Genomic DNA, 19,153 nt, shown 5'->3' on the forward strand with positions numbered 1-19,153 from the left:
TTGTTTAGTTGGTTTTGGTTTTGTGTGGCGAGGAAGAGAGACTTCAAAATATACATTTAATTTCTTTAATAATTATATGACTATTTTGGTTTCTGTTTGTCAGTTTGATAAGTTATAGTCTTCTAATAATTTATTTCATCTAAGTTTTCTAATTTATTGGCATACATTTTTTCAGAATATTTTATTTTTTAATTCTGCAAGATCAGTAGTAATGCCGTTTTTCATTTCTGATTTTGGTTATTTATGCCTTCTCTATTTTTTAAAATTATTTGTCAATGAGGTTTATCAATTTTATTAGTCTTCCCAAAAATCTAGTTTTGGCTTGGTTAATCTATTGTATTATGTTTGTTTTTCTGTTTCATCAAATTTATTTTTACATTTTTATTATTTTCTCCTTTCTACTTTTTTTGCAATTGTTTTTACTATTTTCTAGTTTCTTGCAATGGATTTTCAGTCTACTAATTTTCAACCTTTTTTCTTTTCTAATATATATATATGCAGTTACAGCTATAAATTTGTATTGCTTTGGCTGCCTGTAGGTTTAAATATGCATTATTTTTCTTTTCATTCAGGTCAAAGCATTTTTTTTTTTTTTTAAGTTGGAGTTTCACTCTTGTTGCCCAGGCTGGAGTGCAATGGTGCAATCTTGGCTCACTGCAACCTCCGCCTCTTGGGTTCAAAAGATTCTCCTGCCTCAGCCTCCCGAGTAGCTGGGATTACAGGTGCCCACCACCACACCCGGCTAATTTTTTGTATTTTTAGTAGAGATGGGGTTTCGCCATGTTTGTCAGGCTGGTCTCAAACTCCTGACCTCAGATGATCCACCCTCCTCAGCCTCCCAAAGTGTTAGGATTACAGGCATGAGCCACTGCGCCCAGCCAGCATTTTTTATTTCTATTGTGATTTCTTTGACTTGTGGGTTATTTAGAAATATGTCTTTCTTCATTATTGGTCATGAAATGTTTATAGATATATTTTATTAATGATTTCAAGTTTAATTTTATTATGATCAGAGTATATGGTCTGTATGATATCAGTGTCAATATTTTTGAAATTTGTCAAAACTTCCTTTAAGACTTAGTGTATAATCAATTTTTATAATTGTTCTCCATGTGTATTTGTGTGTTTTTGACATGTGTATTCTCACCTTGTTTGGTATAATGTTCTATATAATTTATATCTAGTTTGTGTTAAACTTATTGTTCAAATCCTCTATATTAACTTAACATCCTTTTGTCCATTTGTTCTGTTAATTACTTAAAGGTGTTAAAGCTTTCCCTTATGATTGTGGATTTGTTTCAATTTTTCTTTATAGTTCTTGTCCGGTTTTGCATTATATGTATTGTGGGTATGTTATTAGGTGTACTTAACTTAGGTATTATTATATATTCCTGGTACAGATATTATAAAGTGATTCTCTTTATTTTTAGCAATGTTTTGGCTTTAAAGTCTGTTTTTTCTAATATTGCCGCAGCAGGTTTTCTTTGGAGAGGAGGTGTTAGGGTTAAAGTGGTTTATCTTTTTCATCTTCTTACATTGAACCATTCTTTTCTTTATGTTTTAGATACAATCGCTTAAGTTTTTTAAAATTCAGTCTATAAATCTTTATCCTGTAACTGGAATATTTATTTCATTTTTATTTAATGTAATTATCGATATATTTAGGTTTAAATCTTTCACCTTATTGTGTGCTATTTCTTAAACATATTTTTTAAATCTCCATATTTACTTTCTTTTGTATTGATCTTGTTTTTTTTAATTTATCTAATTTTTTCCTTTCTAGTTTAGGAACTACATTTGAGCCTTCTCCAAGGATTTCATCAACTGTGGAACAAAAATTTTTTTTTTTTAAATGGACAGTTGCGGCCGGGCGCGGTGGCTTACGCCTGTAATCCCAGCACTTTGGGAGGCTGAGGTGGGTGGATCACCTGAGGTCAGGAGTTCGAGACCAACCTGGCTAACATAGTGAAACCCCATCTCTACTAAAATACAAAAAAATTAGATGGGCGTGGTGGCTGGCGCCTGTAATCCCAGCTACTCGGGAGGCTGAGGCAGGCGAATCGCTTAAACCTGGGAGGCGGAGGTTGCAGTGAGCCAAAATCGTGCCACTGCACTCCAGCCTGGGCGATAGAGCAAGACTCCATCTCAAAAACAAAAACAAAAACAAAAACAAAAAGAATGGATAGTTGCATCTGTACTGACTCTTTTGCTTGTCACTGTTCTCTATAAAAGTACAGTATAACAATTTATATAGTATTTATATTATATTAGGTATTATAAGTAATCTAGCGATAAAGTATACAGGAGGATATTCATAGGTTTTACACAAATACTACACCATTTTATGTAAGGCTTTGAACATCTATGGATTTTGGGTATTTGCAGGGAGTCCTGGAACCAATCCTCCATGGATACCAAGGAATAAATGTATATACTTTTACTAGAAATTACAACGTACATCTTTAACTTAGAAGTACAGATAATATCAGTTCCTTAGACTATTTTAGTTCCATGTATGCCCTGCAACTTAAATGCTACTTTTATATAAATATTTCTAAACACCACAGACATTAGTATTATTGTTTTAGTAGAGTTACTGGTCATCTAGATTTACCCACTTTTTAGCATATTTTCATTTCTGTTCATTTCTTTTTGCATTTCCAACTTTTTATCTGGGATTAATTGTTATTTTTGAAGATCACCATTTAATATTTCTCTTACTGTGTGTTATTGACTGAAGGCAAATTCTCTCAGCTTTTGTTTGTCTAAAAATATTTTTATTTTACCTGTGGTCTTGAAAGATATTTTTGCAGCATATAGAACTTTAGGTTGATAGTAATTTGCTTTCTATACTTTGAATATTTTGTTCCATTGTCTTTAGGCTTTCGTTATTGCTGTTGAGAAGTCGTATTATAATCTTACTGTTTCTTTGCAAGAAACTCTTGTCTCTAGCTGCTTTTAGACATCTTTTCTCCTTCTTTTTCTCTCTTCTGGCTAGGTGTATTTTTCCTTTTATTTATTCTTCTCAGGATTTGTTGACCTTGAATTGTGGATGGATGTTTTTCTTCAATGTTTTGAAAATTCTCAGTCATTATCTATTCAAATTCATTTTCCGTCTTCTTCTGGAATTCTAAGTAAATGTATATTGTACCCTTTTCTAACTATATCTTCTGTATTTCTTAACTTTTCTTCTATATTTTTTACTTTCCTTGTTTCTTTTTTACATAGTTTCTTCAGATCTGTTTTCCAATTTATATCTTTCTTGAACTGGGCCTAATATGAAGCTAAACTCAATTATTAAATTCTTGTGGACATTATTTTAAAATTATAGAATATTCATTAAAAAACCTATATGTTGCTTTTTATAGTTTCCAATTGTCTGCTAAATTTTCAAGCTTTATTTTTATGCCTTTGAACAAAATAACTATAGTTTTGTAGACTACATTTGCTCATTCCCTCATTACATGTCCTTTTGGATGTTTCTGTTGCCTGTTGTTTTTGCTGTTTCTTCCTCATGCTGCATATGTCCTCATGTGCTTGGTAATCTTTGATTGGTGGACATTGTATTTGAAACATTATTTATAGAAATTATTTGAAGCTAGGGATGATGTTATCTTCCTCCAGATATTTTCATTTGCTCTTCTAAGCCGCTGGGGGCACTAACTTTCCAAGATTATCTTTATCCAATTTTAGAGCTTAAGGTTTTCTGTGAGCTACTCGAGACTGGAGGCCAGTCTGTAGTTCATGCAAGGGCTGCTTTATTTTAGGATTACCTGTGTTCCTAGGGTGGAGCTCTGACGATCCCAGCCAAAAGTACCAGAGTCCTTATACTTAGCAGGTCTTGGCATTGAAATTTTAATCCAAGCTTTGTGAGTTTATATTCTGGTATGCAAATACTCCCAAAGCAAATGTGGTCCTGAGTTCAGGACTCACCTCTCTAGATTTCCATCTTTGCCCAATTCTTGTCCTATAGTTACTTACTATCTTGTTTGCTTTATGGTACTTTTCAAGTTTTTTTTTTTTTTCCTATTGGTTTGTTTTGTGATTTGATTTTTGTTCAACTTTTGAAGTAGCCATTAGTGGGAAGGTTAGTCTGAATCACCTAGCCTGCTGTTTTCAGAAGCAGAAACACCTGACTTTATGTTCTTCATATATGGTTTTACCATCCTGTTCCCTCTGTTTGATTTTAGAGAGATTCCCTAGTTGCCCTATCCAATGTAGTAGCTCCTAACTACATGTGACTGTTGAGCACTTAAAATGTAGCCAGTTTGAACTGAGATGTGCTGTGAATGTAAAATATATACCAGATTTCTAAGACTTACTACAAATAAAACAATGTAAAAGATTTTAAGTTTTATAATTGCATATTAAAATAGTATTTTAGCTATATTAGGTTAAATAAAATATTATTAAAATTAATTTCCCTTGTTTTTACTTTTTTAATGTAATTTAAAAAATTTTTAAATTACATATGTGGCTTGTGTGTGTGATTTGCATTATGTTTGTGTTGGATGGTGTTTGCTATGTAATAAAGTAGTTAGAACACAAGATCTGTGGTCTGGATTTGATTCTTGCCTATACTATTTACTAGCAGTGTAATCCTGGGCTACTTTTTGAACTTCTTGCTTTAATTTTCTCTTCTATAAAATGAGAATAATAGTAATATCCATTTCAAAGATATATTGTGAGGGGAAGATAAAAGACGTAAAGCTGTTAGCACAATCGATAACTTTAAGTGTTGATTAAAATTTAGCCACTATTTATGTTTTTGTTATCATTGTTGCTGTTATTATAGTATCAGATTTTATACTTCAGTGGGTTTTTTCTTTCTCTCCCTCAAAATTTTCCACATTACTCATAGTAATAGAGTTCTTAGCTGGATACTGTAATTTGACTGGGGACAGACATATGTACAAATTACATAAGTGAGGAAGGTGTCACAAACAAATGCTCATTAAGTTTGGCTGTAGAAAATTTTTAATGCTTCTCCAAGATAATATTACCTAAAATATTTCTGTAGACTGGTAACTATATAACCAAGCTTTATAATTATGGTCCAGAAAGGAGTCACATAGCCAGGAAATGGTGGTGTGTTGGAAACAGTATTGTTCTGGGACTTGAGGCCTGGGCTGTAGTCCAAATTCTGCCACTGTGTTTGTCTAGACTCCAGTTTCCTTATTGTAAAATTGTGAGGTTGTATTAGATGCTCACTTATGCCCCCTTTAAGGTTATATAATTTTAACATATTAATACCTACATTTCACATATTTTGAATCTACAGTTTAATTATCCTTAGGTTTTTCAGCTCATATTAGAATGGTAAGAGACTGAAGATAAGGTTACAGGAAGTATAGAGTCATGGTAAGATAGAGGCACAATTTTTTCACCCAGAAAAATCTTACAAGATGCTTTAGGTTGTAACTAAACTATTTTTTTTTCTAGAATTGACTTTAATTTTACTACAGTAAAATGGAAACTTTAGATTGTATTATATTAAGATACTACATAGATAGACATTATTATTATAGTTTAGTGGAAAGATTGCTGGCCCTATCGGAATATCTGGGTTTTAACCCCAGTTTTGCCACTAGATAACTTAAGTAAATCCTAAACAGGTTTTTTTTTGTTTGCTTTTTCCATATGTAATAATTTGGACTGTAATAATGTAACACCTCACTCAGAGTATGCACTTGAAAAATTAATTCTTACTTAACTGGTCTGTCTACTGTGTAGGATTTGCATTAATATTGTGAAAACACTTTAGGGGAAAATAATTTAAAATATATGAATAGACATATAACTTTTCTTACTTTGATTATTTTTGCAAATTTGTTCTATTTAATCTTAAAGGGATTGTTTCTTTGTTTTCAAAGTATAGACCATTGAGAAAGAGGGAAAGCTCCCCAGTATATTTTATGAAGTTAGCACAACCTTAAACCTGTTAAAGCAAATTTAAACCTAGTAAAGATAGTATAAATACACAAACTGTGTACATGCACACATGTATACACACACACACACACACACACACTCCTATGTGCTAAAGTTTCAAATAAAATACTAGCAAATGAATTCAGCATTGTATTTAAAAATTATATATATTGACTAGAAAGGCTTTATCCCAGGAATATAAAGATGACTCTACACTACAAAATCTGTACATAATTCATTATAGCAACATATTAGAGGTAAATTTATAACTAAGCCAGTAGGTATTTCTCAAAAAGAAGGAAAATCATTTGATAAAAATCTAACAACTTCATTCATAGGGAAGTGCAGAGTAAAGCAACAGTGAGATGACATGCAGGACTGGCAGCATGTGAAGAAATAGGCAATCATACCTTGATGCTAGTGTGAAGTGTTACTGCTTTTTGGGAAAAAAACAACAATAGCTTCTGAAATAAAAATGCACATTATCATTTGAATATTCCTGTTTCTGGGAGTCTTTCCTACACAAAATAATATATTAATATTAGTGTATACTATAATGTTAATATATACTAATATAGTAAATTAGGACTTATATGCAGGGATATTTGTTTCATAGTTTGTAATAACTAAAAATTAGGAACAACATGAATGTTGATCACCGAAGGAGTGACTGAGTAAATTATTCTACACTACACCGTGGAATATAGTGTAACCATTGAGCAGGAGGGATAATATTGTTGAGTATGGAATGGCAAATTATAGATTACTGTGTATAATGTAATCCATTTTTTAATAAAAAGGGAGAAGCCTTATATATGTTAAATGTGTGCATGAGCCGTGAGAAATGTGTGGGAGTATTGAGTTAAGAGGGGGTGGGATAGGTGAAGTGAGAATATCATTTTTATTTCATATGCTTCTGTAGTGTTTGATTTATTGTGAAGAGCATTTATTTTTGTATAACCACATTTAATGAAGGAAAAATGCTAAATAAATTCAAAGTATGAGCATGTGGGTTCCAAAGATGCTGCATTTGGCCAGCCAGAGACATGGAAAATGTAAAAGTATTATGCTACACCTTCTATTGTGGAGATATTTGTTATAATTTCCATCCACAACTATTATAACATTACTTCTGAAAAGAAAGATATCTTATACTAAGAAATGGTGGCATTAATGATTTTTTTCTTTTATAGCAACTCCGATCCAATATCCGAGAAATTGAGAAACTTTGTTTGAAAGTCCGAAAGGATGACCTAGTACTTCTGAAGAGAATGATAGATCCTGTTAAAGAAGAAGCATCAGCAGCAACAGCAGAATTTCTCCAACTCCATTTGGAATCTGTAGAAGAACTTAAGAAGCAATTTAATGATGAAGAAACTTTGCTACAGCCTCCTTTGACCAGATCCATGACTGTTGGTGGTAATGTATTGTGCTAAGTCTTATTCTCAGTCACAGTAGTGCAGTTAATTAAAGATCACCTCCTTGAGTAGATACTGAATTATCTATAGGTCTTCAGAGACCATTCACTATCCCAATATGCTGAATCCTTGGACCCTGATCAGTGTTCCTGGAAATGTGTACCCTGGATATTTTGCAGAATAAAAAATTTAAGGCTATGCTTATGGAGTGGGACTTCAGGGAAAGTACCCGTTTGTCTATTTATTGAAGAGAAATTTAAATATATTTCCTAAGGATAATGTCATTCTTGTCTGCAAAGTACTCTTTACTCCTTTCCAGGTGCAGGGGTGACCTCTTCAGGCATGCTTTTTTTTCTTAAGCATTCTGATTTTCAGAGGGGATGTTAGATCTATCTTTCAGCCAAGTTCTCTGAATAACTGACAACATTAAGTAATCTACAATGGGAGTTAAGCCATCATCTTCTGTGAAGTGATACTCTAAGAAACAGCCCTGTGAAATTTGTCATTACATCTCTTCTAAGGATGTAATTGATAATTGCTGATCACATTATAATAATGTCTTTAATTCTGAAAATATTCTTGGCTTAATACATAGTAGTACTTCAAAGTAGTTGGTCTTTTTTTTTAAAATCTTTTGGGTATTCAATGGAATAACTGATAAGGTTTTCCTACTTAAATTGTTTACTAGAAAGCTTAGAGCCAAAATTTTTAGCCACCAAAAGTCAGATTTTTAAACCTATCCTAGCTTTGTTTTATAACTACTGCCCTTGTTTTCTTTTTTTGTTTCAGTGTTTCTCTTTTGTTAGTAACTTGTCTCATCTTGTTATATTTTATAAATTATTCTAAGCTACCTTTAATCCTTACGGAAAAGGTGGAGTATAAGTAAGTTACAAATTAGAGTAGAATCTTAGAGATGTTACAAAAAGTGGGCGAAGAGCATGAACAGACACTTCTCAAAAGAAGACATTTATGCAGCCAAAAAACACATGAAAAAATGCTCACCATCACTGGCCATCAGAGAAATGCAAATCAAAACCACAGTGAGATACCATCTCACACCAGTTAGAATGGCGATCATTAAAAAGTCAGGAAACAACAGGTGCTGGAGAGGATGTGGAGAAATAAGAACACTTTTACACTGTTGGTGGGACTGTAAACTAGTTCAACCATTGTGGAAGTCAGTGTGGCGATTCCTCAAGGATCTAGAACTAGAAATATCATTTGACCCAGCCATCCCATTACTGGGTATATACCCAAAGGACTATAAATCATGCTGCTATAAAGACACATGCACACGTATGTTTATTGTGGCAGTATTCACAATAGCAAAGACTTGGAACCAACCCAAATGTCCAACAATGATCGACTGGATTAGGAAAATGTGGCACATATACACCATGGAATACTATGCAGCCATAAAAAATGATGAGTTCATGTCCTTTGTAGGGACATGGATGAAATTGGAAATCATCATTCTCAGTAAACTATCGCAAGGACAAAAAACCAAACACTGCATGTTCTCACTCATAGGTGGGAATTGAACAATGAGAACACATGGACACAGGAAGGGGAACATCACACTTGGGACTGTTGTGGGGTAGGGGGAGGGGGGAGGGATAGCATTAGGAGATATACCTAAGCTAAATGATGAGTTAATGGGTGCAGCACACCAGCATGGCACATGTATACATATGTAACTAACCTGCACATTGTGCACATGTACCCTAGAACTTAAAGTATAATAACAATAAAATAAAAATAAGAATAAAAATAAAAAAAAAGAAATGTTACATCTGCCCATTTTTTCTTTTTTTATTTACTCAGGGCACTCCTGCATCACTATCTCCAAAGCCAGATTATTTTTAATTTTATATTTTCAGTGCTAATGATCCAGTAATTTACAGAGAGATTAAAAAAAGCTTTTGGAAGAAACATTTAGGCCACTAGTCAGAGTTTCTGGGTAATCTTGCTTTTGTTGTAGCCTTAGTACCTAGCACAATGCTTGGCACATAATGGACCTAAATGTTTTATAAACATAAATACATAAATATCTTTTTAGAGACAATTTTGTAATTTCACATGCACTGTAACCACCTCACTCTGTGGATAACCAGTACTGTAAATGTTTTTGAGAGAAGGAGATGCTAGCACTCAATCCTTGGTTGAAAAGTATTTGGGAAGAATGCTTTTTGATAGTTTGTAATTACCGTTTCATTATTCTGTTCATCTATAGTTATTGCTGCCATATTGGTGAGGTTGAAGGCCGTTTTTATCACTTAGTGCAAACTGATGCTTTATGTGCACATGTGGAGTAACTGAGTTTTATAGTTGCATGTGATTAAGGGCTCATCTTATGTACCCAGACATTGTGATAGTTGTGATGGTAATAATAACTGTGAAGATAACCTGGATTTTCTGGAAAGAGTAACTAACATCAATCTTTTTGCTACTTAGCTTTGAATTGCCTATCTCTAGCAATTCCCCTATCAAACAAAAATTTGGAGTTCATCTGAGAGTTTTCTCACAGTATTTTAATATCCTAATACTTGCTTTAATTTGCATTTTATTATTGCATTATTTGTTTTACTGCCAGTAGAACTGTTCGGGATCAACAACTTTGGGCTTATATGTCATCAGAGAAATTGGGTGATTATTATTAATAGAAAAAGGCAGTTTACCCAGTTTGCTGGCAATTAACTTTCTCCATAGGAAGCTGATTGGTATATAAAAAAAAACTTCGGCAGATTTTGAAGAAGTATGTGCATAAAGGAAATGAAAAAATTGGAGCAGAGCCAGAGAATGAGGGAGAAGAAATAGCAGGTGAAATTCACTTCCCAATTCTCTTGATTCTCAAACTTCTCAATTCACCAAATGGGCTATTAAAGACCTAATTACTAGGAGAAAACTAAAAAATTAAATCTCTATAACTAGTATTGATTTGGTTGAGACAGTCATTCTATTAATAAAATCAATACCTAGGTTATACCTAAAATAGTGTATAGAATTTCAAATTCAATAGTCTGCTTGTCATAGTGTGCTTTCACTATTAATCCACTGCCAACATAAAGCAATTAAAAAACTACTGTCTCACCAAGTGCCTGAGTATTTCGCCAAGTGTGAGAGTTTCTGCTATATTGCCTCAAGTCCAGAAATATTATTAATAAATAAGAGAATGGAAAAGGAAATGAATAATGAAAGGAAAGCAAGTAACTAATTTACATAAGACTTTAATAGTGGGGTAGGAATTGAGTTTGCTCCATATTTGGTCTTCTAGCTGTAGACTGTTTTTGTCATTCTACATGTTTTTATTCTATGCTCTCCAGTTTTTCCTTATTTTTGCTTTAGATACTTATTATAGTAGCAACAGCCTATATGGAAAATCTGTTTTATTGCATAGAAGTTAAGTGCCTTAAAATACTTTTTACTTTACAAATTCAATCTGATTCTAAATAAATTGGTTGGAAACATCAGCAGAGATTCAGAAGCAATGTTGCCACATTTCCATGAGTAAGATCAAAAATACAAAAATAGTTTTTCATTTACAGATAGAAATAACAAGTAGAATAGGATGTTTTATATTCTCTGGAGAATGAAAGAAGCTTATTAAGTTTAGGGAGAAGCTGTGATGATTTTGCTGTTTCTTTTGTCCAGATTCCGAGAGTTCCTAAAGCAAATCTTCTCTGCCAATCTTCTTGATCTGAGAAACTCCCTTCTGTCTCACTTGTGTGTCTGGTTTCATTTTTAGCATATTGCTTTCCACCAAGTGAAGTGAGGAGCCTCCAAATCTGATTTGTATTTAGAAAGGTGATTCAAGTCATACAGAGTGAATCAGTGCTTCTCTCCATTTTTGTCTTTCTTTACTCTCAGGACACACACTTCAGTAACACAAAAGGAACAGAATCTTATTACATTTTAAACAAATATTCACAAAAGAAAAGAATATAATCTTAAAACTGCTGGGAACTTCAGACCAGCGTATTGAATTTGATGAAATTTAGATTTTTATCACAGGTATATACATGTACTGAACAGTTTTATGAAACATGTAGATGGTTTGTATTATATGATTCAGAAGATGTATTTTCTATTGGTTTTAATTTTTTTTAAGTCTTCATTTGCAGCTAAGTTAAGCCATGCTTAGAAGTAATTTTATTTTGATAGGCTTATGTAGATGATCAGTAAATTAATTTCACTATTTTTAAACTATCAGAACTGGAAAACATTTCAGCAATGCTTTTGAATTAATTTAGATTTATAATAAAACTTTTTCTTATGTGGTAAAGGTTAGTGGAAATTTTTTATATACTATAATTCTTGGTAAAATCATTGCTGTTCATAAAGTATGGAGAAAGAGGGAGAGAGTACTTGGATATATATAAAAGGGAAAAGTCTTAGGTTATTTCGTTTATTTCTCACTTCAACTAAACCAACAATAAGGTTTTAAAACCAATCCTGGGGTTTAAAAAACAGTGGTGAGTGATAGGTCCTATGTTCTACTTGCCCTTTATGCTTCTGGTTTGTGTGTGGGTGGGAGTACCTGAGATGATTATGTTACATGAAACAGTTACAATTTTTTACTTCTGTAGGCAGATCTAAAGTTCTTCAGCTTTCTTTCCTGAAACTATAATCTATCTCAGCGTTTTGCCTTATCATGTCCATAGCAGTTCGTAAAAGTTCAAAGGATCGTCACTGAGGTAGTGATTTTAAATGCAAGCTGGAATAAATGAATTATGGAAGTTGTAGAAATGAAAAGATTTGCTTTAATTGATAGTCATGACTTGAATTGATTAGCGAGGTTTAGAGTTTTAAGTTTACATCAGGGTTTTTTATGGAAGAGCACAGACCTCTTTGTTCTAAGACTCTGTTTGAACTAAGATGCATACGTAGTTTGGTTTCAAGTGAGACGTAAATGACTTAAACATTTTTATTCTTTACTGAGGGAAATCTTTTATGTTTGTTTAAAATGTCAAACATTTCCCACACATTATTTTTTTAGATTAAGTATTAATATATAATAATCTGTCCTCATTTCATTGCATACCCTCGCAAACTTCATTTGAATCCTCTTTAATAGTACATAAATTATGGCTTTAAAAAATATTTTGAGTGGTCATGGTTATAAAGTTCTCCTTTATATTTGATCTGTTAATAATAATGAAGTTATCATTATTCATCATAATGTGAAAGAAGTGTAAATACCTGGAAATATTAAGTAGAAGAAAGGTCATAGAGTAATTCATTTTTCTTGGTTGATGTGAAAATGAGAGTGTCTTTATGGCAATAATGTAAAGCATAGAGTAACTATTTTAAGCATTTGTAAAAATCATTTAGAGCTTTTAAAATATTGGCTATTTGCCATACTGTTTTAATGTAAAACTTACTCTGTATCGCCTGCCTTTGCTCTTCCTTTAAGTTAAATAAATATATTCAGATAAGATTAAAAACATTCTCAGTTGTGATAAATCTACAAATTACTTTTTAGTCCATTGACTATGGCCTTCCTAAACAATTGAAACATTTTTCCTAGAGAGGTAAAGCATTCATAGGCTTTAAAGGTAAAATAGTAATGCAGTTTTATAAAATACTATTTCAGTTATAGGTTTGGCTGAAAGGGGCATTGAGAGAACATGAACTTAGAGTTATAATTGCTTACTTTTAGGAGTAGATCAGATGCCACATGTCATCATGGCATTTCTCTGCTTATAACCCTTCAACAGCTCTCTTTGGTGTGCCAGATAAAGTCCAAAGTCTTTAACTGGTCTGCAAGGCCCCTCCTGACCATCTGTAGGCTTATACTTGTAACTTGTCTTTTACTTCTTGCTTTGTACCATCAAACTGCTGATTTACATAGCTATATTGTTTATTCCTTGAGGGCCTTTGTTCATACTGGTTTTTCTGCCTAGAATATGTATTCCTCTCTTCTTTGCCTAGTAACCTCAAGTTTTCTAGAAAGGCTTCCCATGAGTTGCATACCATATCAAACTGGATCAGATGCCACCCACAGCTCGGAAGTCTCATAAAATACTTATGTATATATTTCTGATTCTAGATAGATACCAATGCAGTCTCCTATTGTTTTATAATTTCTTTTTGTATGTCTGGCTCTTCTAAAATACAAATTCCTTGAGAGAATGTACTCTGTGTTGATTACTTTTTATCTCTGGCACCCTAACACAATACTCAGTGGGTGCTCAGAAAATGTAAGTGGTAGGTGTTTTGAGCTTGAAGTGAAGGGAAGATAGTAGAACTTCAGATCTTTTGTTTCCATTTCTACTGTAACTATCCTACAGCAGATCACCGTCATGTTACACTGGATATATTGGAAAGCCTTCAGACTGTTTTTTTGTTTTTGTTTTTATGTTATTGTTTTTGTTTTTTTTTTTTTTTTGAGACAGGGTCTCGCTCTGTTGCCCAGGCTGGAGTCAGTGGAGTGATCTTGGCTCACTGCAACCTCTGCCTCCCAGGTTCTAGTAATTCTTCTGCCTCAGCCTCCTGAGTAGCTGGGATTACAGGTGTGTGCCACCATGCCGGCTAATTTTTTGTGTTTTAGTAGAGATGGGGTTTCGCCGTGTTGCCCAGGCTGATCTCGAACTCCTGAGCTCAGGTGGTTTTTTTACTCTCTAATTTTGTCACCTTCCAACTGCATCCTTAATGTGTTTCTTACACGGTGGCTATAGTTTTCTCTGTAAATCTAAAATCTGATTATGGCACCTTCCCAGTAGTCTCCAACTATTTTTAATAGTAACATATTGATCTTTTGTGAAAAGCAAAACTGTTTAACATAGTTTACAAATGCCATGAATAATCTCAAAGTAGATTTCCAGCCTTAGACTTTGCTTTTCTCCTCATCACAGTCAGCTATACTGAACATTTTTCAGTCCCTAAGCGTATGCACATACTGTTCTCTCTGACCTGAATACTCTTTGCTTCTCCTTCCACCCCTGCACCAGTTCACCTGTGTAGTAATTTCTGTTCACCCTCAGGCTTCAGCTTCAGAGCCTTCTCTGACCACTCTCCCTTCCACAAGTCTAGGTTAAATACCTCTCATCTGTGCCCGTGTAGCACTCTATACTTACCAGTATTACAGTTCTTATTAGACTATACTGACTGAACTTGACTATTAATATGTCTGTATCATGCATTTTATGGTAAGATCTGTTAACAATAGCAGCAGCAGTAACTAATTTATTGAGCACTTGTACTTTATATATAACCCAGGTACTGTGCAAAGTAAATATCACCTTATTTTACAAATGAGAAAAACCAGCCAAAGAGATGAAATACCCAAGGCAAACAGTTTATAAATAGCCAAATCAGAATTCTAACCCAAGTCTTTCTGACTAGGCCCAGGCTCCTAACCACTACACTATGTTGCCTCCTCCGAACTGTTTTTATGGTTTGCCATTGTGTCTGCAGCACCTCAGCACACTGATCAGCAGGTAGTAGGCATTTAATAAATGTCAACTCAATGAATGAATGATTGGTAAAACCAATATGAGGAAATAAAGACTTGAAGGTAGATTTTAAAGTGTGAATTAATTCATCATCATAGCAGTGTTTAATGGGGAAAGTCCTACTGGGTTGACAACTTTTTAAAACTCAAAAGAAGTAGAAGCAATGGAGTCATGGGCCAGAAGATTGAGGAGAAGAGTAGTGACAAAAAAGACACATATGGTAATGTTTGGTGACAATCTTATTATTACCAATAGTGACTGATTATCATTAATAAAAATATATTACTTCCCTGCTTTCAACACCTTCTGTATCTGGTATTTACATTGAAATAGCCAAATAGAAGTTTAAGGATGAAAAATATTAAACCTATTTATATAGGTACGTCTCCTTGGAACATTGGCCAAGTAGAATAGTTTTCTTTTGGTGCTTCTTCCACATTTAGCCCTAGTTATTCAGATTGGATAGATAGTATTTGTAGCCATTTTTTAAATGACTGTGTAGATTAAAAAAATATGTGTGTAAGCTTGGTGTCATGGCTTACGCCTGTAATTCTAGCATTTTGGGAAGCTGAGGCAGGAGGATCAGTTGAGGCCGGGAGTTCAAGACCAGCCTGGGCAACATAGCAAGACTGTGTGTCAATTAAAAACAAAAAAAAAAATTTTAGAAAAAAAAAATGTGTTAACTAATCTGGGGAACAAGCTACCCTATGGATAAATCTTTTTTTTTTTTTTTTTTTTGAGGCAGGATCTTGCTCTGTTCACCTAGGCTGGAGTGCAGCGGCGTGATCACTGCTCACTGCAACCTCGACCTCCCAGGCTGAAGTGATCCCCCCACCTCAGCCTCCCAAGTAGCTGGGACTACAGGTGTGTGCCACTACACCTGGCTAACTTTTTAATTTCTTTGTAGAGACGAGGTCTCACTCTGTTGCCCAGACGGGTCTTGAACTCCTGGGCCCAGGCAGTCCTCCCGCCTCAGCCTGCCAAAGTGCTGAGATTATAGGTGTGAGCCACTGCACCCAGCCAAACAATTCTATTTTTGTAGAATAATCAATTTCCTTTTAGCCTAAATTTAATTAGACACCATTTAACGTGGCATTTGTTTTATGAAATCAATTTATGCTGTCTCTTTTCTAACAAAGCAAATAAACTCTAAACATGGGGTTATTATGTTCATCCAGGAGCATTTCATACTACTGAAGCTGAAGCTAGTTCTCAGAGTTTGACTCAGATATATGCCTTACCTGAAATTCCTCAAGATCAAAATGCTGCAGAATCGTGGGAAACCTTAGAAGCGGTATGTTAAAAAATGTTTTCTTTTTGGTAGTTGTGAGGCATAAAAGTAACTTCCTCTCCCTTTCTTTTAAAGGACTTAATTGAACTTAGCCAACTGGTCACTGACTTCTCTCTCCTAGTGAATGTAAGTATATAACTGTTTTGGATGCAGAATTGTTGGATTATTAGAATGAGAAGCTTTTATAATCACTAGGCTTTTAATTAGAATTTTAATAGAACTTATAATTTTTAAGACTGGTATTAAGCCATAGATAGAAGTTTAACTGTTCTCAAATTCCAGATTAATTCAAGAAACTTTTATTAAGCACTTGTTATATACAAGCAGTGTGTTAGATGCTTAACATTGAGAGTGTGGTCAGGTTGGATATAGAAATAAATGAAGCCCATTCTCTGCCTTTGAAGATTCTTGTTTTTTGTGTTTTTTTTTTTTGAGACGGAGTCTCACTCTGTCGCCCAGGCTGGAATGCAGTGGCACAGTCTTGGCTCACTGCAACCTCCGCCTCCCAGATTCAAGCGATTTGCCTCCCTCAGCCTCCTGAGTAGCTGGGATTACAGGCACGTGCCACCATGCCCAGCTAGTTTTTGTATTTTTAGTGAAGACGGGGTTTCACCATGTTGGTCAGGCTGGTCTCAAACTCCTGACCTCATGATCCACCCGCCTCAGCCTCCCAAAGTTCTGGGATTACAGGCATGAGCCACCACGCCCTGCTGCCTTTGAGCATTCTACAGTGAGTGGAGATAGGCCTGGACCCCAGAAACTGAGCTTTCAAGCATGATGGCTAAATGCAAAAGCAAGAATGAAGAGAGGTATTATCAGCTCCAAGGAAAAGCATTTAATTCCAAAGGAAGGAGGCAGGAGTCATAAGGTAGAAAGAAGCATTAAGGATAGCTTCACACAGGTAGACAGTATTTGTATGAGCCTTGAAAAATGAGTAAATATCCACTGGGGGAAGTTATGGAGTATATTTGAGAAGCTGAACAAAGACATGGAGTAGAGAAGTGTATGGCCTGTTCCAGATTGACAAGTACTGCAGTATAACCAAAGCATAAGGTACCATGGGCAAGCAAGGAGGGTGAGGGCCAGATTGTGATGGCTTTGAATGCCATGCTAAAGAATTTGAACTTTACTTTGTGGGCATTAGAAAGCCTAATACTGATTCTTGAGCAGGTTAGAGTCATGCAATTCAGTCTGTGCTTCAGAAAGATCACTGTTGGCTTTGTGAATAATGGCCTAAGAGAGGAGGAGGTCATGGAAAGGAAGACTGGTTAGGAATCAATTGCAAGAGTTCACCTGGAGCAATGGCAATACCAGTGTAAAGGTAAAGGACAGCTGAGAGATATTTCTGGGGGACTTAACAGAAATTGGAGGAAGATGGAGCCAAAGATAAGGAACATTGTCTTTATTCTGCATAATTGGGTGTCAGTGATACTGTTAACATAGATTAGGAAGCACAAAGTCAATTTGTTGGGAAAGATAGATTTTCCACCATTTTTCTAAATTGTTCTTTTTGTCTTTCTCAGGAGTTATGGGAAGGTAGGATGTATGAATACGTGTGTATGTATATTTATGTATGTGTGTCCACACAGGCATACCTGTTTCTGCTTGCAGTTCTGTCTAGGTTTAGTTCTTTGTTTCTGATCTAACCATGATTTTGGGGTTATCTTTGAGTTACGGTTTCCCTGAGATCTAATTTTAAATGAGAAGTTCCTAGATCACACAATCAGAATTGGAATGAGAAAGGACTCAAGAGGCCAACTAATCTAATCCCTCTACTCTTGCCCCAATTTCTAAAATAAATGGTCTTTTAGCCTCTTTTGGAACAATTACAGCACAAGGATATTGATACTTAAACTATTGCATTTGGAGGGTCTAACTCTTAGAAGGGTTAGAGTTAAAAGTGTCTGCCCTATAATAACTTCTTTTTGGCATTTTTGGCCTCTAAAGCTACGTACTGAACAAATTTTGCCTTCTTTCCATATGAAAGTCTTTCAAGGTTTTGAAACCATCATCTTTCCTCACTCTATCCCACCCCACCATATTTTCTTCTCTTCAGAACCCTTGCTTCTTTTGCATTCCTTCTACAATATAATTTCTAGGCTTCTCAATACTGGCTTCTTACTATGCTTATGTTCCATATTCTGAATATTTTCTTGAAATGTGTTACCTAAAATTGAATGCAGTAAATTGTTTGAATTGCTTCTGGATGCCTCTAAGTTAGAAGAAGCAAAATATTTGAAGTTTCTGGATTAGGTATCTGTACAATATTAATATACTCGCAAACAGAAGGAAATAATAGAACAAGAATCCCAAAATATCTGTTGTTTCAGAATCAACATTTATTCAACTATTGTAAACTAATAATCTCTGAATCCAGTGCAGTTTGTAAAACCTATACATGTATGGTTACACAAATATATACACTTGCCAAAAGTCATTGGTCTGTACACATAAAATGTGTTTTAATATATGTAAATTATACCTCAATAAAGCTGATTTTAAAAAACAAACTACACATGTACAAAGTTCTTACTCAGTACAAACACATTTCTTTTCTACTGGGATAGGCACATAAAAGAAATATTAAAGGTCTGTGACCATAAGATAGTTACATGTTTGATTATATTATGTAAGCAGCTCATAACCTCTAATCTAAGGGAGATTTGTGTAGGAAAACTCTGGCTGTAGCCACAGCTCTATACAAATGTCCTGTTTGTAATAATCTGTTTAAGTACATGAGACAGAATGCTAATAAGCAAAAGCTCAAAGGAGAACCCCTGATTATTATTCCCAGGGTGACTAAGTTCTCATGACCACATGGCCAAGGATTCACAGAAGCTCTATTTAGGCACAGAATGACCTAGGAACATAACCAGAGTGACCACATCCTCTCATTATCATCACATGGACATGATAGTGTCTAGACAAATTAACCATGTATTTAAGGAACACTTTCTATCTGCGTAGCACTGTGCTAAGCTTAATGAGGAATAGAAAAAAGCATTTAAAAAACTTACAAGATAGTAATAGTGGTTGCACAATATTGTGAAGTTACTTAT

The 19,153-nt window shown here is 34.4% G+C and overlaps 1 protein-coding gene across 7 annotated transcripts in view; it reads left to right on the plus strand.

Moving 5' to 3' along the window:
• The window catches only part of STX17 (syntaxin 17), a 67,881-nt gene that overhangs the window by 37,282 nt on the left and 11,446 nt on the right, over positions 1-19,153 (plus strand). For 6 of the 7 annotated variants that reach the window (XM_047423551.1, XM_011518821.4, NM_017919.3 and 3 more), the window contains 3 exons: positions 7,125-7,350; positions 15,982-16,097; positions 16,170-16,220. In XM_047423551.1, coding sequence (XP_047279507.1) covers positions 7,125-7,350; positions 15,982-16,097; positions 16,170-16,220 — 393 coding nt within the window. Of the gene's footprint in view, positions 1-7,124; positions 7,351-10,058; positions 10,169-15,981; positions 16,098-16,169; positions 16,221-19,153 lie in introns of those variants that run through there. The other variant, XM_047423553.1, reaches the window with a different exon arrangement.

The sequence above is a fragment of the Homo sapiens genome, chromosome 9 (assembly GCF_000001405.40).
Source record: "Homo sapiens chromosome 9, GRCh38.p14 Primary Assembly".
In the NCBI taxonomy this organism is placed as follows: Eukaryota; Metazoa; Chordata; class Mammalia; order Primates; family Hominidae; genus Homo; species Homo sapiens.